Source organism: Homo sapiens, chromosome 17 (assembly GCF_000001405.40).
Source record: "Homo sapiens chromosome 17, GRCh38.p14 Primary Assembly".
Classification (NCBI taxonomy): Eukaryota; Metazoa; Chordata; class Mammalia; order Primates; family Hominidae; genus Homo; species Homo sapiens.
In genome coordinates this window covers 80840495-80862976 of record NC_000017.11, presented here as the reverse complement: position 1 = coordinate 80862976, position 22482 = coordinate 80840495, and the positions used below count along the sequence as shown (strand labels likewise).

Genomic DNA, 22482 nt, shown 5'->3' with positions numbered 1-22482 from the left:
CCCAGCCTGAGTGGGCTCCGATCCTTCTCAAACTCTTAAGTGTGTCCTGAGGGCCGGCTGGCGGCAGCAGGGGGATGCTGAGAACACTGGGGGAGTGGCTGGCTTCTGTCTGCACCTCTGAACCTCTGAGCAGGCTCTGCGATCTTCACAGGTGGACCCGTCTGTACACCATGTGCACCCCGATCTGCACAATGGCAAGCCCCAGGAGTCACAGGGACGGCTGAGGGCTGCAGGAGGCACTCATCATGTGGGGGCGGAGCCCCGGAGGACCACCAGCAACACGAGGAGGGGGCGGAGCAGACATCATGGTGGGCGGAGCCCCGGAGGACCACCAGCAACACGAGGAGGGGGCGGAGCAGACATCATGGTGGGCGGAGCTCCAGAGGACCACCAGCAACACGAGGGGGCGGAGCAGACATCATGGTGGGCGGAGCTTCGGAGGACCATCACCAACACAGAGGGGCATGCACACATTGTAGGGGGTGCACACATCATGGGGGGGTAGGGGTGGAGATCCGGAGGACCGCCAGCAACATCCATGGCCAGACGTGGGGAGGGGAAGGGAGTAGAGGAATGACCCCTCAAAAACACAGGGAACTTTCATCTCTGGGAAGTTATCGCCAGGGTAACGATGGAAGGAAGGGCGAGGCAGGTGAGGTAGACGAGGCTCAGTTTCTACCGGAAACACTTCAAAATGCCCCTCAGTGGAATGATTGCTTTTAAACATGCAGGTGCAACAAGCTGGTTAAGAAATTAATTCACAGGAAGGCCTGTGATGCCTGCAGGCAGTTACAAGAACACTGCAGGCAAGGGCATGCCCAGCTGGCTGTGGGAACAGCTCCCCAAGCAGTACTGAGCAGATGACCCCTTCAGCAGCATGAATAATAAACCCGAGGCCCTGGTATCTGCCTGGAGCAGGGTGTAAAACGAAGGCACGCTGCAGCCTCCGTGCTCATGGCCACGTTCTGCCATTTGGGGCACTCGAGAGCAACAGGCCCTGGGAGATCCACGGGACCAAGAGCCAGTTTTAAACAAGACGCCCTGCACTGCAATACCATGATGGGCTGTGGATGCAGTGAGAATGTCACGAGGAAGGTACGAGGAAGGCTGTCCCCTTTCACCAAGAGCCACCCCTGAGACTAAAAATAAAGACATCATCAATTTCCAGGTCCTAAAAGGTACTAAAAACACGAAGTCTGAGAATCAAAGTTGGCTTAGACACGTTCCTGCAGCACTGGCGGTGCTGGGGAGCAGGCTCAGGCGGCCGTAATCCCAGACCTCTGCATGCAGATGGCATCTCTTCCTCCCTTCACCCTGGGCTTTGTGTCATGTGAGGGTCACCGTTTTGTGCATCCCAGAGCCCCTACACATGGTCCTTCATCCGTGGCCAGGTGCCAAGATATTTCTAAGTGTGTCCATGTAGATGACGAAGATATGGGTGTAGGACAGAAACCACGTTTCAAAATGACTTCCTGCCAAACACCCTTTGTTTACATAATGTGGCTCTTCAGTGAATTTGAAGAAGAGTAAAATAGAAATGACCCACACCTCTCGCGTCCTGATCCACAAAGCCAAGCTTTCTGTTTAGCAAGAAAAGGTTTTAGTGTAACAGGGACAGGCAGGAGAGATGTGAGATTTACGTGGTGCCCCTTCCTGGTCCTGTTCCTGTTCCTCTATAATTTACACAGCAGTTTTCCACGTCCTGGTTCTGAGCTCTGGAACTGTGGCTGAAGGCAGACGGCCGAAGGCTCATGATTTTACAGAGGCAAATCATGGCCAAGGGAAGTGAAAATGACTTGTAAGAGCAAATGCGGTGATGGGATCAAACTCAGGGTTTTAACCTTAAATCCAGTGCTTTAGCCAATCTTTCAAAGCAGTCATTCTTTATCTGTAGTTTAATGGGTAGCAGGGAAAATATTTTGCTGAAATATATGGTATTCAGGTCACCATTATGGAGCGTTCTCTGGTCACAGCCAGGTGCAGAGCACTGGGCCCAGGAGGGTTCAAGGTTGAACTGAGGTCAAGGTCAACCTCAGCTGTGCTGAGAGGAAGAGCAGCAGCTCCCCGCATCCAGCTCAGGAAATCAGGAGCAGCTGGGAGAGATGGCAAGCACGGTAGCCGACCCGTGCCAGCAGAGCCATGGTCAGTGCCCCAGGCCCAGAAAAAGAGTGAGAGATCCCAGAACCGGAAGAGGGGCTGGAAGCTGCTTCTGCTTGGAGAGAGCATATACATAAAATCCTAGGGAATCTACAAGAACCAGTGAACTAGCAGAAAATCCCAGGGAATCTACAAGAATCAGCGGAACCAGCGAGAGGTCAACTGGTGCTGGGTACGACTGACGCCTGCCTCCAAGGTGGAAGCCCTCACCGTCCGCTTCGGCAGCAGCCTCCCCACTGCCCCCTGACTTCAGCTGTGACACCAAAGTAGTACGTGAGGACTTGGGGTGTGGGGAGGCTATGGTCAGGGCTGGGTGCAGGGAGCAGAAGGGCTGAGCAGGGGCCCAGGGGTCCGTGGGCAGCACAGTTGGGGACCTGATGGCCTGGGCTGGACTTGAATCAGCAGCGGCTGTGGGTGGGAGACACAGCAGTGGCTTTGTGTGGGGTGTGCAGGGCTGACGGGTGAGAGCGCACAGTGCGGGGTACGAGCCTGTGGCTCGGGGTGCCTGCCAGTGCCTGGACAACAGGGTCAGTGAATTTGGCTGAACAAAGCCCAACAGGGCAGCTTCAGCGAGCACAGCAGGTCCTGGTGGCCAGTGCGACATGGCTGACAGGGCTAAGGATGAGGCTGGGTCTCAGTGCCAGTGACTGGACGGAGGAGCTGACAGAATGTGGCCTGGGGAGCGCCGGGCAGCAGGCAGGAGCCCCGGGGGCTTAAGCTCCGTCCACTCTCCCCTCACCTGCCACACAGAAAAGGAAAGGGTGGTCTTCCCCGGCTCCAAGCCATGGCCTCTCCAAGGTGTTCTTGGCACTCTCCTGTACTTGCTCTGTGACTTTGCTAGACCTTCCATTTCCCTGTGTGGGCAAGGAGCTCCAGACCCGGCGCAGGGGCCCAGTGGGGTGCCGGCCCCTCGCATGGCAGCTATGTGGCCCCTGCTCCCTCCTGTGGGCGGCGCCTCACCAGTAAATAGGCTGCAAATTCAAGCTAACTTCACAGGGGACTTAGGAATTAAGAGACTTTGCATATGAAAGCCGCCTGACAGGGCGCCACACACACATGCACGCACAAGCGCCCACATACATGACCACCCCCGCACACACGTGCACACAGCAGCTGGCCGAAGTCCGGGGGGAACGTGGACCTGCTCCTACAGGCCTTCTAATGAGTTGCTGGGGCTGGTTTGCTTCAAAACCAAGCAGGGAGCAAAGCCAGCCTTGCCCTGATGCCGGCTCCTCCGTCCCGCTCTCCTCACCCGTGGCGGCACCCCCAGAGCAAGACTGACTTGGCTTCTTCCCGGGGCTCCCTGCCAACCTGGCTCCGAGCCCAGCTCTGTATCACACACGTGTGCCCCTCCGCACACGGACAGCTAAAGGCAAAGGCATCTCTGGGAAATCTTTGTCCCCAACAACCCTGCAGAGGGCAACATATCCCCCAACTCCATTCTCAGCACACACCCTTTGTTCTAGAATCTTCACGTTCTATAAATGAGCCCTTCCCAGACCCTTTGCACCACTCTGTACAGCTCTCCTCTCCACTGTGTCACACGAGGAGCTTTCGAGAGTTCTCCCGCAGCTGAGCCTTCCACATTTTCCTTCGAGGGTCTCGCCTGCCATCACCACTGGGTAGACGAGGTCCCCAGTCTTGGCATCGGGCCAGCCCTGCTCCTAGGCCGCACAGGGCTCCTGACCAGTTGTCTCTGGAAGGCTCCCCGAGCCCCAGCCGGCCACACAGGCTTCAGCCCGAGTCGCCTCTCCCAACCCAGGCTTGGTGCCGCCCTCCCAGCCCTGCAGCCCGACCTCCTCTGCCCACCCTCCTGGAGGAAAATGCTCTCCACCCCGTGTTTCCCTACAATCCACTTGACACCGAGGCCAGGCAATGTTTATAAACCACAGCTTCATTCTTTGATGTCTTTGTTCCAAAATCTGTAATAATCCCCATGCCTGCTAAATGAAGTTCAACTGTGTCTACCGGGAACCGTGCACCGTCTGCGTGGATGGGGCCTCCCTGCGTGTCCCCGCACACAGCCACAGGGAGTGGCCTGCCCTCCTCTAAATGTCTTCCCAGCCCTCCCTGCCACCTCCATGTTTGGACCCCCGCCCGACATCCACCCCCTCAAGGCCCTTCCTGGCGTTTCCAGTTCAGCATAGGCCGGGTCTCGCCCACACGACTTCTCAGCCCCACTCCTCTGACCCATCTCGCTGGTAGCTCCTGCAGGAGGTGACCCTGCCTCACAACAGGGCTGGTGTCACCTGCAACCCCTGCCAGCACCCAAGCATAAGCCGCTGGGGACAGGGACAGCTGACCTTGTGTCTCTCTTAACATAGCTAAATATGGGTCCCTGGCCTAGATGATTGAGGGGCGAACACATGGCTGCAGGGCCAGGGCTGATGCCCGTCAGAGAGGACAGAGCTGGACAGCCCCGTGTAAGGGGGTGGCCCCTAACACCTCGGGGCCTGGCCCAGACCACCTGTGCAGGGTTGAGGAGGGGGAGAAATGCAATGGTGGGCACAGGAGAGCCAATGCGGGGTCTGGGCGAGGCAGAGGCCAAGTTTATGCCATGGCGGGGTTGCTTCCAGTCAGGGTCAGGAGCACGGGGACAGCCTTACGGGGGTCAGACACAGGCAGGGGGACTGAGTGCAGGGCACCAGGGGAAGGCCAGGGACAGGACGGTGTGGGGGGACTGAGCGCAGGGTACCAGGGGAAGGCCAGGGACAGGACAGGTAGGTGACAGCCCCCACGACCCAGAGGTGGCTGCCGAGGCGGGCGCGTCCCACTTTACCCCAGAAGAGAGGAAGGGAACGGCGGTGCCTGGAGAGGGAGCGAGGCTGGAGAAAGGGCAGGCTGGAAACGCAGGGCTCGGCATCCCCAGAAGGGCCGGCAGGTTCACATCACTCTGGGGAGGAGGGCGGGGATACTCACGCTGTCCACTGCGAGGATCTTGGCCCAGATGAAAACGAGAAGTGGCCGCAGCTCTCGGGCCGAGCTCTGGAGCAGCTTCAGCACGTAGGGGAAGATGCCGACAGACAAGGCCTGGGGGCGAGGGAGGGCGTCAGCGCACCTGTGCCGCAGCAAGGGAACGGGCAGCAGCAGGGGTGCCACGCGGGACCAGCTGCGGTGCTATCTTCAGCACATATGGGAAACGCAACAGGAATGAATGGGCCTCACTTAAAGTAAAGAGGGGCTTCCTCCAGATTTATTCATCTCTGATTTATTCCTAGAAGCTGCCACATACTGCCAGCCTTGACTGGTGTCAAGAGACTGGAATGAATCGGGTGGCAGCTTTTCCTTGTGGAGGCGCAGGCTGCTTGCGCCTGGGGCCCTTGCCTGCCCTCAGTGGCCTCGTCTGCTCTTGGCAGCAGAGCATCAGGCACCTTCACTGTGTTGCTCACGTACGAGCCACGGCCACCTGTGACGGCACGGCCACCTCTCCGTGACGGCATGGCCACCTCTCCGTGACACCACGGCCACCTCTCCGTGACGGCACGGCCAGCTTGCTCAACACTCATGTTTGCACTTCAGATACACCTTGGGAGAAAGATGCCTGCCCTGGGAAAGGCAGGGAGGAGCGGGGGTTGCCCAGGGGCTCACTGGCGCCCAGTTCTGGCCATGTCATTCTCAGGGGACTCTCTGCCCTCAGAGGCAGGGGAGGGAGGGCGTGGAGGGCACTGCAGTGTGGAGGATGCCTGGCAAAGTACTGCTGCACTCCACAGCCAGGGGTTTCTGCTGTGTCCTTATCTCAAAGCTGCTGGAATTTCAAAGATATCCTAAAGGTATCACCTTCCAATAAGTGAGGTCCCCTGTAACCAAGACAGGAGGTGGTGGTGGGACCTAGGCCTGGGTCCCTTCCCTGTGAAAGGCCACATTTAACAAGGTATGAGCAGTTTCTCTGGTTCGGGTGGCTGGGCCCTCACCTGAGAGGCAAAATCTGTACCTGTAAAAATACCTCGTTTATCCAGCCTCGATTCATGTATTAGGCAAATTTCCAATGAGCAGAAGCTTAATTCTTTAAAGGGAAGAAACTGGTTTTAAAAAATTAACCTTAAAAATGAAACTCTTTCTAAACTGTTATGAATACATGCTTCCTGTCTTCTTAGAGTGCACGCAATACCACGCAGGCCTTTCCAGGATGACTAAGCGACACCACCACGCACACACCAAGTGACCGAGTCACGCCAGCCTTCCTCCGATGACTCAGGCCCTGACTCTGTTACAAGCTATTTGTGGCCTCAGGCACCTGGAGTGAAAATGGCCCAGTGGTGAGTGCTGAATGATTCTTCCAAGTTTTGGATGTTTTCTCTCGTCCTTCAGTGCTGGACTATCAATTACCACTCTTTGTCAACATTATCTGATGAAAATACTTAAATACACCAAACCCAGGTACTCACCACCCAGCTAGTGACAGCGGTTCCGCACCCACCGCCCCACCGCACCGCTCCCAAGCACAGTAAATTAAGGCTCATATGTCATGTGATTTCATTGGTGAATATTCAGTGTCTATCTCTAAAAAATTAGGTCTCTTTTATAAAAACATGATCCAGTTACCACACCCAAGAAAAACGAACAATGATTCTTGAATAACATAAATCCAGCACCTGTAAAATTTCTAATTGTTTTATGAGTATTCATTTTTGGAACTTCAACAGAACCAAGTAAGGTTTACTGTACATGGCAGCTGGCCATAGGTCTCTCGAGTTTCCTTGACTCTGTGGTTCCCTCTCAGCCTCCTTTTACTTTCCCTGTGAGTTATTTGTTAAACGCACGTCGCTTCTTGATCCTGCCTCTGCCAGGGTGTTTTTAGTGGCCATTACTACTCTGCTATAGAATGAGGAACCAGAAGAGCGTTTCCGAATTGTGCCTGCCATGATGGTGAGCAGACAGTGCTGAGGATCCAGACTCCTCCTGGGGGAAGCAGCACCACGAGGTGGGTGCTGCGTCAGGCTCAGGGGCGCCCTGCTCCTCCGCAGCGCTGGGGGCGGCTCAGGAAAAGGTGACCGGCCGACAACACACTCACTCCTATGTCTAACATCAGACATAAAGAGGGGCGACAACCCCAGACCCCCAAACGCCAGGCAGCACTGCAGGCTGCACGGGTACAGAGTGGGCTCCTTGAGGGCCTCAGGAGTGACAGGACACCAACACGGTGGACACACTCGCCCTGGGTCTCACGGCTGGGGGTGGCTCTGGATCATGAAATACGTGCACAGACTGAAACACGGAGCCTAATCTCTGTCCCACCTCCCTCAGCCCCCAGGTTAATGCGGAAGGCACGCACCAGGCTCACTGCCCAGGGACCCAGGTCCAAAAATCTTCCAAGCAAGTCCAATGCTCTCAGCCGGTGCACTTGGCTTAACAGCACCTGGAAGAACAAGAAGAAAATGGTATCACTGCAAACCATACTGGTGTGCAACCCCGAAACGCTGCTGCATGAGCTGCCAGCTTTGGAGCGGTCTGACCACAGTTCAGATCTGTCTGCTGCTTCAGTTACCTAGAGCTGGTGCTCCTTTCCTTACAAGTTCATGCTTTTAGACAGGTGAAGAAAACACGCTTTATGCCTTTATTACACAGATAAAAGATGCTCAATGTAGAAAATACTAGAACAAACATGCTTTAATTGCATTTAAAAAGCTAACCCACTGGTGACATTTAGGTATATGAACTCAGACATTGTTCTTTATGTCCACACTTCTCTTACTGATCTTGAACTAGATAATATGTGATTCTATTTCTCAGCTCCTTTTTAAACTAAACAATGCACTGTGAACATTGTTCATATCAGTAGGTATGTACTGACCATATTATTCCCAAAGGCGGCACAGTACTTCCGTTATGCAAATGTACACAATTCTTTTAAACAACTTCCCCAGTGATAGATATTTAAATTATCATCAAAATGTTCCTACTTTTACCATTTTTATTTATTTATTTTTGAGATAGGGTCTTGCTCTGTTGCCCAAGCTAGAGTATAGATGCCAGATCATGGCTCACTGCAGCCTCAACCTCCTGGACTCAAGTGATCCTCCCACCTCAAACCCTGAGTAGCTAGGACCGCAGGTATGTACCACCATGCCTGGTTAATTTTTGTATTTTTTATAGAGATGGGGGTCTCACTACATTGCCCATGCAGGTCTTGAACTTCTGGCTCAAGCAACCCTCCCGCTTCAGCCTCCCGAAGTGTAGGGATTACAGGCGTGGGCCATCATGCCTGGCCAAAATGCTGCTCTGATAAAGAAGATTGTGATCAATATCCTAATGGGTACATCGGCACATGTACATGATTCTTTTCCACTAAGATAAATGTGAGTATTAAAAAGGTAAGGTCGGAGCATATATACTTAAGTTACCAAATGACCCTGAGGCTGAACCCACTCACACTCTCGACGGCACGCACGTGGGCACCAGCTTCCTGCTGCCTGAGCTGGTCACCCAGCAGCGCTCACTGCGGTGTGACTCTGGGCAAGTTAACGTCGCTGAGCCTTGATTTATTAATTCATAAAACACATATAACACAACACCTGCCCACAAGGGTTTCATTAAATTAAATAATAAATTTAAAGCTTGTGGGACAATACTAGCCCATATTACACTATTATTAGCCAAAAGGACAGGTGAAAATACATCCTTTTCATCTGGATTTCTTGGATTTCAAGGGGAGTACATTTTGCAGGTTGATGGGCCATTTCCCCAGTAAACTTGCCCTGCATGCGTTTAGTTTTCTACTTCAAAATGTGGCTTTTTCTTATTGACATGTCAGAGTTCTTTATAAGTTAGAGTGGGCTCTGCCAGAGGTTTTGCACATACTTTTTCTGTTATATTAAAGTTCTACACTTTTTTTTTTTTTTGAGACAGAGTCTCACTCGGTCGCCCAGGCTGGAGTGCAGTGGCGCAATCTCGGCTCACTGCAAGCTCCACCTCCCGGGTTCATGCCATTCTCCTGCCTCAGCCTCCTGAGTAGTTAAGACTACAAGCGCCTGCCACCATGACCGGCTAATTTATTTTTGTATTTTTAGTAGAGACGGGGTTTCACTGCATTAGGCAGGATGGTCTTGATCTCCTGACCTTGTGATCCACCCGCCTTGGCCTCCCAAAGTGCTGGGATTACAGGCGTGAGCCACCGTGCCCGGCCAAGCTTTACACTTTTAATGGCATTACTTCTTTTGATTTTTTCCTTAATGGTGGCTATGCTGGAAGGCATGTGCATCGACTCCCTCCAACCTACAGCATTTCTATCCACGATGCCCCAGTCATCCAAGGGGTGTTTATGGGGCAGGTGCTGCGCTGGGTGCTAGGAGAGTGACCACAGACAGTAGGGACCACCTCACCCATCCTTCATGTGGCCTGGGAGACAGACATTAAACAAATGACCGCCCCATCACCATGCCTAAACACACAGACCCTGGGAGCCCCTGACCTGGCCTCGCTGCAGGCCTCGGAGGTTTTCCCTCCCCCCAGGAGAAGATGCACAGGACACAGCTGGGCAGCGGGTCCTGGAGGTGACATGAGGGGGTTACCGCGTTGCAGGTGGAGAGGCTGGAAAAGCCCGGGTGTCTGAGGATGCACGGGCTACCAGTATGACTGAGGTCAGTGATGGGGGAGGGGCCGGATAGGGAAAGGCCCCGCCGACGGCATGCAGAGAGGTCAGTTTGTTTTGAGATCCAGAAGCCACCAGCCGACGTTAAGCAGCAGTGACTGGTCCAGTGTGCTCGCTTTGGGGACAGGCCTGGCAAGAGGCTGGAAGTCGGGGAGGCGAGTGGAAGGGGGTGGGTTTGACCAGGGTGCCAATACGGAGATGGGGAGGAGGAGACTGCAGCACTGGCCAGAGGCTGAGAGAAGAAGGGGTGAAGGAAAGCAAACTCTAGAAAAGAAGGTTTGGGATGAGTTTGAAAACCCTCAAGAGAGGCAGGGGAAAGGGACGAGGAGGCCAGTGAGGGTGGAGGATCGGGGGAGGGGAGAGGAGATGGCGGCCACCTGGGTCAAGCTCCTGGGGGTCGGCCAGCACGACTTCCACGGAGGAGCCACCGAGTCAGGAGCATGGGCCCTGGGGAGCCGTGGAGAGGGAGGAGCTTCCCTGTGGTGGGAGAAGAGCACTGGCAGGAGGATGAGGGGGACAGGGAAGGTCACAGGTGGCAGCAAGAGGAGGTGGCTAGCCAGGCTGGAGGGGCAGATGGGGTATGGAGGGGATCCCAGCATGTCCAGCCTTGGGGGCAGAGAAAGAGCAGTGGGAATGTGGCCTCACTTCCCTTCTATGTGCCCGGAGCCAGCTCCCACGCTGGGTTCACCATGGACCCAGGAGTGGCAGGTTCCCCGTGCTGGTGATGCTGAGAGTCTCTGATTAAGAGGCTGGGAAAGGAACGTGGGACTGCTCGCAGGATATGTGAACTGGAACCGGATCCCTCTCCTATGCTTAACTCGGGGGCTGTCGCATGCCACTGCTGCCTGGAACTCAGGTTTGAGGGGCCAGTCGGAGGAAAAGCACTGGCTCTGGGGCCGGCTAACCTGATGTTAACCCTGCCTCCATCTCTGCCCAATAATTGGCTTAGATTCCTAACTTCTGGAAACTTCAATATCATTATCAAGAAAAACGGAGACAACAGTACTTGACTTGGGCTTATTCTCAAAGTTCAATGAGGCAGAGTCCGTAAAGCGTCTAGCACAAAGCTGTGTGCACCAAGGTGTCCAGCGGATGTAAAGTCAGCATCATAGTGTTCGGCTACCAGATGTCTCCACCACCCAAGGTTTTAAGGACTGACTCTCTGTGTGTAGGGAACACTAGGCTGCCTGAGGCTCAAGTTTCTAGATGACCCAGGGAGAGGAGAGGAGGCAGGTCTCGCCATGGCTGCAATCGTCAGAAATCAAAGACATCATCAGATCTAAAGCTTACAAAGATTGTTTTCTGATTCTTTTTGTTTTTTTCCAACACTGTAAATAAGGACAAGGCTGTTTCTAAGGTAAATAGTTGCAGAACAAATGGAAAAAGTGGCAGGACGGGGCGAAGAGGTCTAATCAAGGCCAGTTCCTGTTACTGTTTTACCAGGACACTAGCCCAGCAATAAAGGTCTCCTTAGAATGTGCTCCTTACAAACAACAAAAGCAAGCGGGACGCTGGTTCACAATCACCACCGTGATGTGGTCCCGAGTGTCCCACTGTAGGAGCTGCAGGTGCTGATGAAACACACGCGGGGGCCTCGGGGGCCCACCTGCCTGGGAGTCGGCGTCGGAGGTCCTTGGGCAGCATGGGATTTGGTGCTACAATTATTTCATTTGCAAAGAAACATCGTCAATAAAGAGTATTGGCGGAAAGGTTAAGTACTGTTTTTTTTTTCTCAAACATTACATCATCTTCCTGCCACCTTTTGTTGATTTACGATTTTTAAAAACTGAAGCCAACATAAAGCAAAGTTATTTTTAAAATGGGATTGGCTTTTAGAAAAAAAGCCAATGTTGTTTCTGTACTTAAAAACAACAAAACAAAAACCTCCTGTTCCGGACCATCCCACGATCTATGGAAATTATAGAAGTAAATGATGGTGAGCTGAATGAGTTACTGAGATTTATTTTCCACCTGTGGTAGCCCAAACTAAAGATTAATCATGGTGGCCGGCATAGAGGCTCAATACTGTAATGCAAACACTTTGGAAGGCTGAAGCTGGAGGATCGCTTGAGGCCAGGAGGTCGAGACCAGCCTGCCCAACATGGTGAAACCCCGTCTCTACAAAAAATACAAAAATGAGCCGGGCATGATGGCACATGCATGCAGTTCCAGCTACTCAGGAGGCTGAGTCAGGAGGGTGGCCTGACCCCAGGAGTTGGAAGTTGCAGCGAGCTATGATCATACTACTGCACTCCAGCTGAGGCGACCAAATTAAAACAGAATTGCTAAGGTTATCAAATTTCATTTGCCTTGTATATGAAGAGAGTGCTCAGACAGGCATACTGGAAGAGCTGCTTCATAAGAAAAGATTCTCCAGTTCCAGCCCTGGAGTGCCAGGTGCTGCAGGCCAGGGTGCCTCGGGCACCTGATGAGCAGGGCGGTTTTGGAGTCCCCGATGTACATGGTATGTATAACATCACTCTAGTTTGTCATTCTGCTGTCACCTGATAACAATCCTGTACTTTCAGACCCCACATTCTATTTGTAAAAAAAATGATGCACGGAGAGAGAGCAAATAGACCTCCTAATGAAATGCTCACACTGATCTGTGACATCTAGGAAAAGGGACTAAAACTTCATCCTATAAAATCACTCTTGGCCAGGTGCGGTGGTGCACACCTGATATCCCAGCTACTCTGGAGGTTGAGGCACAAGAATCACTTTAACCCAGGAGGCGGAGCTCCGGCTGCAGTGAGCCGAGATCACCCCTCAACAGAGGACTGGATGAGGAAACTGCAGCGTCTGTGCATCATGGAATACTACTCAGCCAGAAAAAGAATGAAATCGTGTCTGTTGCATCAACATGGGTGAAACAGGAGGCCATTATGCTCAGTGGAATAACTCAGAAACAGAAAACCAACTGTTGCATGTTCTCATGTATAAGTGAGTGGGAGCTAAACAACGGGTCCACAGGGACACACAGGTGGAATAACAGGCACCGGAGACTCCAAAAGGTGCGAGGGGCTGAGGGCTGAGAAATTACCTATGGGGTATAATGCCCACTATGTGGGTAGCAGGTTCACCCAAAGCCTAGACTTCACCACTACGCAGTGCATGCATGCAAGAAACCTGCACCCGTATACCCTGGATCTATTGAAAAGAAAAAGGGCCAAGTAAATAAATGAACACATAAATATCACTGTCACCTTTTTCCTGAAAAAGAAAGAAGAAGAAAAGTCACTTTCTCCCCTCTCTTCCATAACCTAGGCGCTCTTCGTTCCCCTGCCTGGGCTTCCTGAGCCACCTGTTGGGGGCACACAGCACTGAGTTCCGGGCGAGCTGCCGAAGCCAGAGGGCAAACGCACCCCACAGGCCACGAGAGTCCAGAGCTCCTCGTGAGAAGACGGTGTTCAGGGCTGGGTGCGGTCGTTCACGCCTGTAATCCCAGCACTTTGGGAGGCCGAGGCGGGTGGATCACAAGGTCAGGAGTTCAAGACCAGCCTGGCCAAGATGGTGAAACCTTGTCACTACTAAAAATACAAAAAATTAGCCGGGCATGGTGGCGGGTGCCTGTAATCCCAGCTACTTGGGAGGCTGAGGCAGAGAATTGCTTGAACCCAGGAGGCAGAGGTTGCAGTGAGCTGAGACCGCGCCACTGCACTCCAGCCTGGGCAACAGAGTGAGACTCCATCTCAAAAAAATAGACACCATCAATCAAGGGTCTGGGCAAAACAGCAATTTTTTTAAACATTGTATCTTCCTTCTTGTTCCTCTGTTGATTTATATTTTTAAAAGGCAGAGAGGATATTGAGGCTGGAAAGCAGGAAGGGCCTGTTCCATGCTCACGTTTACAGGAGGGGCTGCGAATCAGCCGGACCTGATGAGACACCGTGCGTGACCCTGGAGGGCCACCAGCCACTGCCTCTGGCTTAGGGATGAAGTGGCAGGGATTCGGAAAACCGGAAGCGAGTGAGAAAACTCCCTTTCCCTTAAGTGATGTTTTCTGACTTGCCAAGGCACTAGAGAATAATTTAAGGATAACAGGGCCCAGGCTTTGGCAAAAATAAAGGCTTTTAAGAGAAAGCGCGGGGAAGTGAGCCGAGTTAACGAGAAAGAAGCCACTCCCGGGGGGTACGTCAAATGAAGCCGATACCCCATTACACTTCATCTTTCCCTACTTTTGTGTTAGGTGGAGGTCCGCCCATTGATCCCGGCTGGGCACAGCCAGGAAACAGACCCTCCAGAGGGAGGAGGAACCTGCCACTCACACCTGCTGGAAAATCATGTGGGAAATGCCCCACGCTCCGACCAGAGCTGTCTTCGCATACGTCACCATCAGAAAGCTGCCTCCAGCACGTCTTCTCCTTCCTTGAGGGAGTGTGGGTGGCCAAGGGAACATTGAAAGAAATCAACAGAAGGCCATTTACAAAAAGATTATTTGCTGGACCCAAAAGAACTGGATTTAACGTGCTTGGCATCGGGTCCTGCTTTGGAGAGGGCCGATTTTACTCCATCACATTGCTCAAATAGTAGGAAGGCCAGTAAGAGAGCCAGTGTCTCCTGAGGGACATCCTGGTAACCCAGATGACCAACAGGAGCCGTGGGGCCCAGCATGGGCAACCTGCGCTGTGGCCACCCCCGGTCACCCGTGGCCACACAGCCAGCTGCCTTTCTACAGTCGCACGAAGGGAAAACGTGGGCTTCTGTCAAATGTTGTTTGGTTGCGTTGCTGCTATCACTGCGTGTTCTTGGTTTTGAACATGAGCTGGTTTATTTGTTTACACCTCACCCTGTAATCTCAGGATAGTCTTAAACGAATCTAGGTACATACAGGAAGAACAGTAATAACGTCTGCATTCTTTTTGCAATGTCCAAAAAGCAACTGTCATAATATACTGACAGCAGCAGAAATATATACTGTGAAATGTGGTACAATGTTATTTTATTTTGTAGAGATGGAGTCTCCCTATGTGGCTCAGGCTGGCCTTGAACTCCTGGGCTCAAGTGATCCTTCCCCGCCTTGGCCTACTGAGGAGCTGGGATCATAACACCAGGGCAGCCGGCTGGCACACTGGTTCTTTGTTGCCCGCCTGAGACAATGCCGGCGAGGACAGGCCGGCGGTACTGTCTTGAGCACGTCCATGTGCACTGTTCCTTCTCCCAACTCCTCTTTCTCTGGCTGAGATTCTTGGGGCAAAGTCCTGAACGAGGTGAAGCCTCAGTCCTACAGCACGCCTGCGACGCTGGCTGCCACTGCTGCAGCACAGACTGAACGGCGGAAGGGAAGGCTGCTGAGGCCATGGCCGTGACAGAGATAAACTGGCCCCGGTTTTCTAAATGATCTCTCAGAGGTGGGATGAACACCTGGTCTAGTGAAGATTGGTGTGCTGTCTGTCAGTGTGGTGAGCGGCCCTAACCAGAAAGCACGAGCTCTGGAAGGAAGAAGGGCAGGTGGGCGGCGCCACTCACGCCCCTCTCCATGGAGGTACCACCACCCGATCTGCTTTCTAGGAAGGCGAGGACCCAACTCTGCCGACTCTCAGAACTCAGCACCACACCCGGAGGTGGGGCTCTTCCTGTGTGTGGGGGGAGTCACCCAGCTTTAAACCAAAAAGGGCGGGGCCTGCTCATTCCCTGCCTGCTGCTGGGCAGCCCCTCCCCACGGCCATGCACAGCTCCTCGCCAAAGTCCAACTGCACCACCCCAATCACAAAAACACTTTTCCAGCTTTTAAAGTGAGTTCTTAGACCTTGATATCTACACTGACCAGTGGATTTTAAACTCCTTTGACTCTGACTCAGCCCACACACTTCCCCACAAACACACATTCACCGAAACAAAAGTTCTGTGGAATCTTTCTAACTTCACTACCTGTGACGAACTCCTCAATTTCCATGGCCTCCCATCCTATCTCAGTGACCAAAAACCAGCCAGCAGGACCCACGATGCTGACCTCCCAACCCATGAACAGGTCATGGTCTGCACGTGAACAGCACTGACATGACACGGGCCCCGTGGGCACTGGCATCTGAAGGACGTGCCCCAAAAGGGCCTATTTGTTACAGCAGCTGTGACAGCCCCGTGCAAGGGAAGGGCTGCCGGCTTCCGGATCTGTGTGTGCTTCAGTGCATAACCTACGGCGCTGGGCCACAAAGCCGCTCTGCCCGCTTCGCCGGTCAGTATCCGCTCAGGGAGCCTCCTCCCTCCTCTCCCGGATTCACTGCCATCTCCTGTCCTTCCCAAGAGAAGGAGGCAGTGGTGTCGAGAGCCTGCTCTGAAGCAAAGCCCATCTGTAGCTGAATCTCAGCAATTCCTAAAGTGGAAATGGTAGCCAGGGGAGAGGGGGATGATGGACTGGCTGATGACTCCCCAGTCCCAAAGTTACACTTATCTGAGGGTGGAGGAGGGAAATCAATGGCTTTAGAGGAAACCCTTTAGGAATGAATGTGCGATCAGCCCAGTGACTCCTGATTGGATCTGTGTGATCCGTTTGCCCGAATGCGACCTGCCCATGCACCATCATCTTCGGGGCAGAGGGGCTGGGATGTCACAGACCCACAGGGCTCAGGGAGAGAGAAGGCACTCCCGGGGCTGTACAGGCATCTGGCTTCCTTCCTGAGGAACCTCGGCTGTCTGGCCCGGTCTGAAGAAACTCACCTGCAGGACGATGGGCAGCTGTTCGGGTGGGTTTCGGTTCTCCACGCCCATGGTGAGCCACACCTGGAATGCGGTCAGCTGCTCGGCGAAGAACGGGCTGTGCTGCGGGGCAAGCAGAACAGGTGCTTGTTAGGGCCATGTTCCCAGATGGCCTGGTCTTGCCCACCCCTGCCACCTGCCGGGCATCCAAGCCTTCACGAAGGGCCCGCCCTGCAGGGCCGCGAGGATGCCAGGCGGCTGAGAAGCGGGCGCTCTGGGCATGCCAAAGAGGGAGAGCCTGCGGGGTGCACGAAGGGACCAGAGGCAGGCAGGAGAAGAGAGCAGCTGAGGATGACTCCAAGGCTTTTGGCCAGGGCACCGAGCTGGGGCCGCAAGAGGAGCGTGCTGGGAACCAGCTGTGGACATGTGGTGCTCACGACAGTGGCTGGACAAGGGAGTGAAGATGCCGGGGGCAGGGGACCCCGTGAGTGTGTGGATCAGCAGGCAAGTCTGGCTGGGGACACGCTTGGGAGTCATGGTGTGTGAATCTTTTTCAAGTTAAGTGAGAAAGGAAAGGGGCCCAGGACAGAGCCTCTGCTATGGAGACCAAGGAGATGAGCTGGGGCCGCGCTGGGGCCGGTGAGGGCCCGGCAGTGGAGGGAAAGCAGAGCTCAAAGGTCTGGACGCCAGGGAGCAACGTCCAGGGCAGAGCCACAAACCAGCACCGGGCCAGGCGAGATAAGGATGGAGAGCTGACTGGGCCCCGGATCAGCAGCAAGAACGCTCTGGAGTTGGGCAAAAGCGCAGCCAGAGGGGTTTCGAGACAGGGTGAATTTGGTTTTGGTTGCAAAGGGGAACAAGACAGACAGGTGGTGGCTGGAGAGGGATGTAGGGTCAGGAAGTGCTTTTTGTAGATGTGGAGTAATGGGGACAGGACGCTGGTGAGAAAGACCCAGCTGGGGGCACGGAGGGTGGGGAAAGGCTGCTGGAGGGCATCCTCGGGCAGGCTGGGGGATGGGACTGGAAGCACAGGCTGGGCTGGCAGAGCAGGGCTGCTCCCCAGGGGAACCAGGCAGGCGGCAAAGCAAGGGGGCCCAGATGCAGAGAAGCAGGGGGAGGGCTGGAGGACCCGGCAGAGGCGGTCATGCGACTGCTTCTTGTTTCCTCAGTGAAATGGGAAACGAGGGTACTCTCTGGGGTGAGGGCGGGAGGAGGGGTTGCAGCTGGACAGAGAAGGCGCGCGGGTGAGGGAGACCAAAAAAAATGCTTGGGGTCAGAATGTCAGGCGGCATCAGGGCCCCTCGAGGGGGTGACACGAGTTCTCCGTGGGCCACACCGGGTGGGCCCGAGCTCCCAGTTAGCCCAGCCACGTGAGTGCAGGCACAGAGTGGAGGGGGATTCGCCTGGGTGCCATGGAGCAGGTGGGCAGCAGGGCTGCTGGGCCTGCGGCTGGAGAGCGTGAAGGCTGCAGGGGAGGCTGCCGTTGGAAGGTCTCGGAACTGAGCGGCCAGGCAGGAGCAGTCCGGCCTGATTCCCTCCACGGAGAGTCACTTCCACTTAACACACAGCTCTGCCTTCCCTGAGCCCCCGATACAAAGAATTAAAGAAAAAAAAAAAAACAACTACCAGCCTCTCTCTCCCATCCACTATCCTCTCTTCCCTACGTTGTTTGATTTTGCTCGGGGGGAAGGTGGGTGGCCGCAGTGGAGGTGCGTGTCTCTGAGAGGAGGTCGGGAGGAACCCTCCCTCCGCTCATCTGGCCGGGGTCGGCTGTGCCCCGGGTTCCAGTGAATGTGGACACATGTGGACAGGCGAACGCCAGGAGCAGGACAGGGTGCCTCCGTGCGCCCAAGTCCAGGAGCGCTCTCGGCAGCCTCCACAGAGGAGCCTGGCGGGCAGAGCCCCGTGGCCCGACTTAAAAAGTCAGCCGAGAACATTCACCACGTAGGAATCCGTGCTCCTGTGCAGCCAGCTTACAGAAAGTTAATCACACTTGGAGGGCAACCTGTGGAGCTGGCTTGGAGCCCCCAGAGTGATTTTCCTGTTTTCAAGTGTGAATTATTCATAAATTGGTTAAAAAAAAATCTCGTTAAGTACCCCCTCCTCCACATCCCGCGAGAACGTAATTCTCCTGAGTTAGAGAAGGCTTGAGTCTGTGAACAGAAGTCAGGTAATTCAGATAGTTACACCTCTTCTTTCTATCACATTAGCTTTGCCTGATGGATTTTCACATGTTCCTCACTGCTGGAGTCACTACTCCATGCAGAAAGAGAAAAATTCCTGACTATTCACCTCAAACTGACAAAAAAGGAAAAGCACACCTTTGCCTGGCAGGTGCGCGGTGAAGCCCGTGAAGCTCCCTAAAGCCACGGGGAGGCTGACGAATTAGAGCAAGCGCCTGCGGAAGAGTGGCCAACACTTTATATGATATTCCGGAAAACATCTCGAGAGCGGCCCGTGTCTCCACCCATGATTCACAGGGCTGATGTTTTGGGCCAAATCTCTGAGATTTTCTCCACCCCATGAAGAGCTCCTGAGCTGGCCCCTGCGTGCAGGGGAGCGAAGTCCATTCAGCGAGACAGAGAGCTCACAGGTCCTGCTGGGCTGAGCGTCTGGGTTGCCCGGCCAGGACCACATACCTGGCTCTCCCAGGGCGATTTGGATGCCAGGAGTTTTGCTCTGTTGCCAGCCTGTGTGCTAGGCAGTTTGACATATTCTAAAAACAGGGGCAGCAGACTGAAAATGGGAAGGCCGGCTGAGAGGCTGGGAGCCTCCAAGTCACACCTAAGTGGAGCCCGTCCGGCTGGACTTCTGCTACCAACAACCTGAGCATACCTGCCGCCTTTCTCACCATCTGGACATTCTGAGATGGCTACTCTCCGTCCTGACAATGGCACAATACATTTGCCACTTACGACAAGCTTGCTGCTTAAAGAGGGGACTTAAAGTTCACTGCCAAGGGGACATTCTACCCCTCTGTACGGCTCTGTAGGGACATTCTACCCCCCTGTACGGCTCTGTAGGGACATTCTATCCCCCTGTACGGCTGCTCAGTTTGCAGAAGGGTTCTCTTTAACACCCCTAAGAAAGTCAATTAGCCCGAGCTTTCTACTGCAGGGGAATCATTCTGGCTTCTCCTACTATCTCAATAAACCAAAAAAAAAAATTTTTTTTTGAGACAGAGTCTCACTCTGTTGCCCAGGCTGGAGTGCAGTGGCATGATCTTGGCTCACTGCAACCTCTGCCCCTGGGTTCAAGAAATTCTCCTGCCTCAGCCTCTGAAAACCTCAATTTTTATAGGGTTCTATGTCACTGTTAGTAGAGAAAAATCAGAAAGTGAAATTTTAAACAATACCATTTACAACCACGTTGAGGGAGGAGAAGGCTCAATATTATAGAGGTGGTGACTTCTCCCAAATCAATCTGTAGATTAACTGTAATCTCAACAAAAATCCAGCAGGTTCTTTGCAGAAATTAACACACTGATGGTAAAATTCACATGGAAATGCAAAGGACCAAAAGTAACTGAGGCAAACTCGGGGAAAAAAACGAAGTTGTGGGACTTAGTCTACCAGCTTAGAAAGTGTCACGTAGAGTTTGTCATTACAACTGTGTGGTCCTGGTGCAAAGAACAAGTGAGCAAAGGGACAAACGAGGGAACAGAGGCAGCCATGTGAACATGGCCCTTGGTGCAAAGGAGGGAACAGAGGGAGCCACGCGGACACGGTCCTCAGTGCAAACACCACCAGTAAGCCGAGCATTCACGGGGGACGTGAAATGTGAGCAGATGCAGGTCCAGATGTGAAAGGGAAACACACAAGCTGCTAGCTGACAAAGAGCGTAGCGTCTGCTCAGAATGCTCATCTCAGAGGAAATAAAGGTTTCATAAAACAGGATACCAAAAGCCGGAACCATAAATGGCCAGTACAAGTATAGAACAATGCTCTATTAACCATCGGGTAAATACACGATTAGCTCTTAAGGAAATACCTTTTCATACTGAACCATCATAGCCAAATAAATACATAGCAACTAAAACTCTCGAATGCTGCAGGCAGGAGTGTAAACTGACTCAGCCACTTTGCAGAGTGCTCTGGCACCATCTGTTAAAGCTGAATATGGGCAAACCCTGGGACCCCGAAGGATCACTCCGAGAAATGTGAAGGAGGGAGCAGCCCCTGAACGGGAGGCCAGCCAGGAAGGGGAGGCCTTGGCCTCAGGCACAGAATTGGTGCTAGCAGGTGGGGTACCAAAAAAAAAAATCAGTAATCAAGACAAATGATATTTCAGTGCAATATTTACAAAAATAAAAATTAATACAAAAATCCATACTGAAGAAGATATCGACATTTCAAAGGGAGGACCAATATCACAGAATTCCCTTTTGTCTCAGGCTCTGATGTGACAGAGTCTGGCTCTAGCCAGCACTGTTAGTGAGGACTGAAAACTGAAAATGCCCAGTGGCCCTAGAAGGGACACATGAATGTTGGGACACTCAATGGTGTCCACCTTGCAATGAATGTGAGCTGCAGCGCCGTGAGTGTGAGCTGCCGTGTGGTGAGAGTGAGCTGCCGTGTGGTGAGAGTGAGCTGCGGTGGGGTGAGAGTGAGCTGCGGTGCGGTGAGAGTGAGCTGCCGTGCGGTGAGTGTGAGCTGCCGTGCGGTGAGTGTGAGCTGCCGTGCGGTGAGAGTGAGCTGCCGTGCGGTAAGAGTGAGCTGCGGTGCGGTGAGTCAGCTGCCGTGCGGTGAGTGTGAGCTGCCGTGCGGTGAGAGTGAGCTGCCGTGCGGTGAGTGTGAGCTGCCGTGCGGTGAGAGTGAGCTGCCGTGCGGGGAGAGTGAGCTGCCGTGCGGGGAGAGTGAGCTGCGGTGTGGTGAGAGTGAGCTGCCGTGCGGTGAGAGTGAGATGCCGTGCGGTGAGTGTGAGCTGCGGCGCGGTGAGAGTGAGCTGCCGTGTGGTGAGTGTCAGCTGCCCTGCGGTGAGAGTGAGCTGCAGTGCGGTGAGAGTGAGCTGCCGTGCGGTGAGAGTGATCTGCCGTGCGGTGAGAGTGAGCTGCCGTGTGGTGAGAGTGAGCTGCCGTGTGGTGTGAGCTGCCGTGTGGTGAGAGTGAGCTGCCGTGTGGTGTGAGCTGCCGTGTGGTGAGAGTGAGCTGCCGTGTGGTGAGTGTGAGCTGCCGTGTGGTGAGTGTGAGCTGCCGTGCGGTGTGAGCTGCCGTGCGGTGAGTGTGAGCTGCGGTGCAGAGAGAGCGAGCTGCCGTGCGGTGAATGAGCTGCCGTGCGGTGAGTGTGAGCTGCCGTGCTGTGAGAGTGAGCTGCCGTGCGGTGAGAGTGAGCTGCGGTGCGGTGAGAGTGAGCTGCCGTGCGGTGAGAGTGAGCTGCCGTGCGGTGAGAGTGAGCTGCCGTGCGGTGAGTGTGAGCTGCCGTGCGGTGAGAGTGAGCTGCCGTGCGGTGAGAGTGAGCTGCCGTGCGGTGAGTGTGAGCTGCGGTGCAGAGAGAGTGAGCTGCCGTGTGGTGAGAGTGAGTTGCCGTGTGGTGAATGTGAGCTGCCGTGCGGTGAGTGTGAGCTGCGGTGCAGAGAGAGTGAGCTGCCGTGTGGTGAGAGTGAGTTGCCGTGTGGTGAATGTGAGCTGCCGTGCGGTGAGTGTGAGCTGCGGTGCAGAGAGAGTGAGCTGCCGTGTGGTGAGAGTGAGCTGCCGTGTGGTGAGTGTGAGCTGCCGTGTGGTGAGAGTGAGCTGCCGTGTGGTGAGTGTGAGCTGCCGTGCGGTGAGTGTGAGCTGCGGCGTGGTGAGAGTGAGCTGCCGTGCGGTGAGTGTGAGCTGCGGTGTGGTGAGAGCTGCCGTGTGGTGAGAGTGAGCTGCCGTGCGGTGAGAGTGAGCTGCCGTGTGGTGTGAGCTGCCGTGTGGTGAGAGTGAGCTGCCGTGTGGTGAGAGTGAGCTGTGGTGTGGTGAGAGTGAGCTGCCGTGCGGTGAGAGTGAGCTGTGGTGTGGTGAGAGTGAGCTGCCGTGCGGTGAATGTGAGCTGCCGTGCGGTGTGAGCTGCCGTGCGGTGAGAGTGAGCTGCCGTGCGGTGAGTGTGAGCTGCCGTGGTGTGAGCTGCCGTGTGGTG

At 54.2% G+C, this 22482-nt stretch overlaps 1 protein-coding gene across 2 annotated transcripts in view, besides 9 other annotated features; it reads right to left on the bottom strand.

Moving 5' to 3' along the window:
• Nucleotides 1-22482, bottom strand: part of RPTOR (regulatory associated protein of MTOR complex 1) — a 421531-nt gene that overhangs the window by 103392 nt on the left and 295657 nt on the right. For both annotated transcript variants that reach the window (NM_020761.3, NM_001163034.2), the window contains exons 11-13: nt 16403-16504; nt 7430-7513; nt 5077-5187 (exon numbers count right to left, since the gene is read on the bottom strand). In NM_020761.3, the coding sequence (NP_065812.1) occupies nt 5077-5187; nt 7430-7513; nt 16403-16504 (297 nt within the window). The remainder of the gene's footprint in view (nt 1-5076; nt 5188-7429; nt 7514-16402; nt 16505-22482) is intronic.
• Nucleotides 4511-5440: an enhancer, noted in NCBI's record as "H3K27ac-H3K4me1 hESC enhancer chr17:78831337-78832266 (GRCh37/hg19 assembly coordinates)". NCBI's record gives its function as "activates a minimal SCP1, AML or CMV promoter by ChIP-STARR-seq in primed H9 embryonic stem cells {active_cell/tissue: H9 hESC(primed)}" and the evidence as "EXISTENCE:reporter gene assay evidence [ECO:0000049][PMID:30033119]".
• Nucleotides 5441-6371: an enhancer, noted in NCBI's record as "H3K27ac-H3K4me1 hESC enhancer chr17:78830406-78831336 (GRCh37/hg19 assembly coordinates)". NCBI's record gives its function as "activates a minimal SCP1, AML or CMV promoter by ChIP-STARR-seq in primed H9 embryonic stem cells {active_cell/tissue: H9 hESC(primed)}" and the evidence as "EXISTENCE:reporter gene assay evidence [ECO:0000049][PMID:30033119]".
• Nucleotides 5441-7200: a biological region, named in NCBI's record as "BRD4-independent group 4 enhancer GRCh37_chr17:78829770-78830969".
• Nucleotides 5808-7007: an enhancer, noted in NCBI's record as "BRD4-independent group 4 enhancer chr17:78829770-78830969 (GRCh37/hg19 assembly coordinates)". NCBI's record gives its function as "activates an origin of replication core promoter dependent on BRD2, P300/CBP, MED14 and CDK7 cofactors, and independent of BRD4, by STARR-seq in HCT116 cells {active_cell/tissue: HCT116}" and the evidence as "EXISTENCE:reporter gene assay evidence [ECO:0000049][PMID:35650434]".
• Nucleotides 6148-6297: an enhancer, noted in NCBI's record as "active region_12947". NCBI's record gives its function as "activates an Ori minimal core promoter by ATAC-STARR-seq in GM12878 lymphoblastoid cells {active_cell/tissue: GM12878}" and the evidence as "EXISTENCE:reporter gene assay evidence [ECO:0000049][PMID:35858748]".
• Nucleotides 6194-6488: an enhancer, noted in NCBI's record as "tiled region #3754; HepG2 Activating DNase matched - State 15:Elon, and K562 Activating DNase unmatched - State 5:Enh". NCBI's record gives its function as "activates a minimal TATA promoter and a strong SV40 promoter by Sharpr-MPRA in HepG2 and K562 cells {active_cell/tissue: HepG2 | K562}" and the evidence as "EXISTENCE:reporter gene assay evidence [ECO:0000049][PMID:27701403]".
• Nucleotides 6308-6457: an enhancer, noted in NCBI's record as "active region_12946". NCBI's record gives its function as "activates an Ori minimal core promoter by ATAC-STARR-seq in GM12878 lymphoblastoid cells {active_cell/tissue: GM12878}" and the evidence as "EXISTENCE:reporter gene assay evidence [ECO:0000049][PMID:35858748]".
• Nucleotides 6670-7200: an enhancer, noted in NCBI's record as "H3K4me1 hESC enhancer chr17:78829577-78830107 (GRCh37/hg19 assembly coordinates)". NCBI's record gives its function as "activates a minimal SCP1, AML or CMV promoter by ChIP-STARR-seq in naive H9 embryonic stem cells {active_cell/tissue: H9 hESC(naive)}" and the evidence as "EXISTENCE:reporter gene assay evidence [ECO:0000049][PMID:30033119]".
• Nucleotides 7201-7732: an enhancer, noted in NCBI's record as "H3K4me1 hESC enhancer chr17:78829045-78829576 (GRCh37/hg19 assembly coordinates)". NCBI's record gives its function as "activates a minimal SCP1, AML or CMV promoter by ChIP-STARR-seq in naive H9 embryonic stem cells {active_cell/tissue: H9 hESC(naive)}" and the evidence as "EXISTENCE:reporter gene assay evidence [ECO:0000049][PMID:30033119]".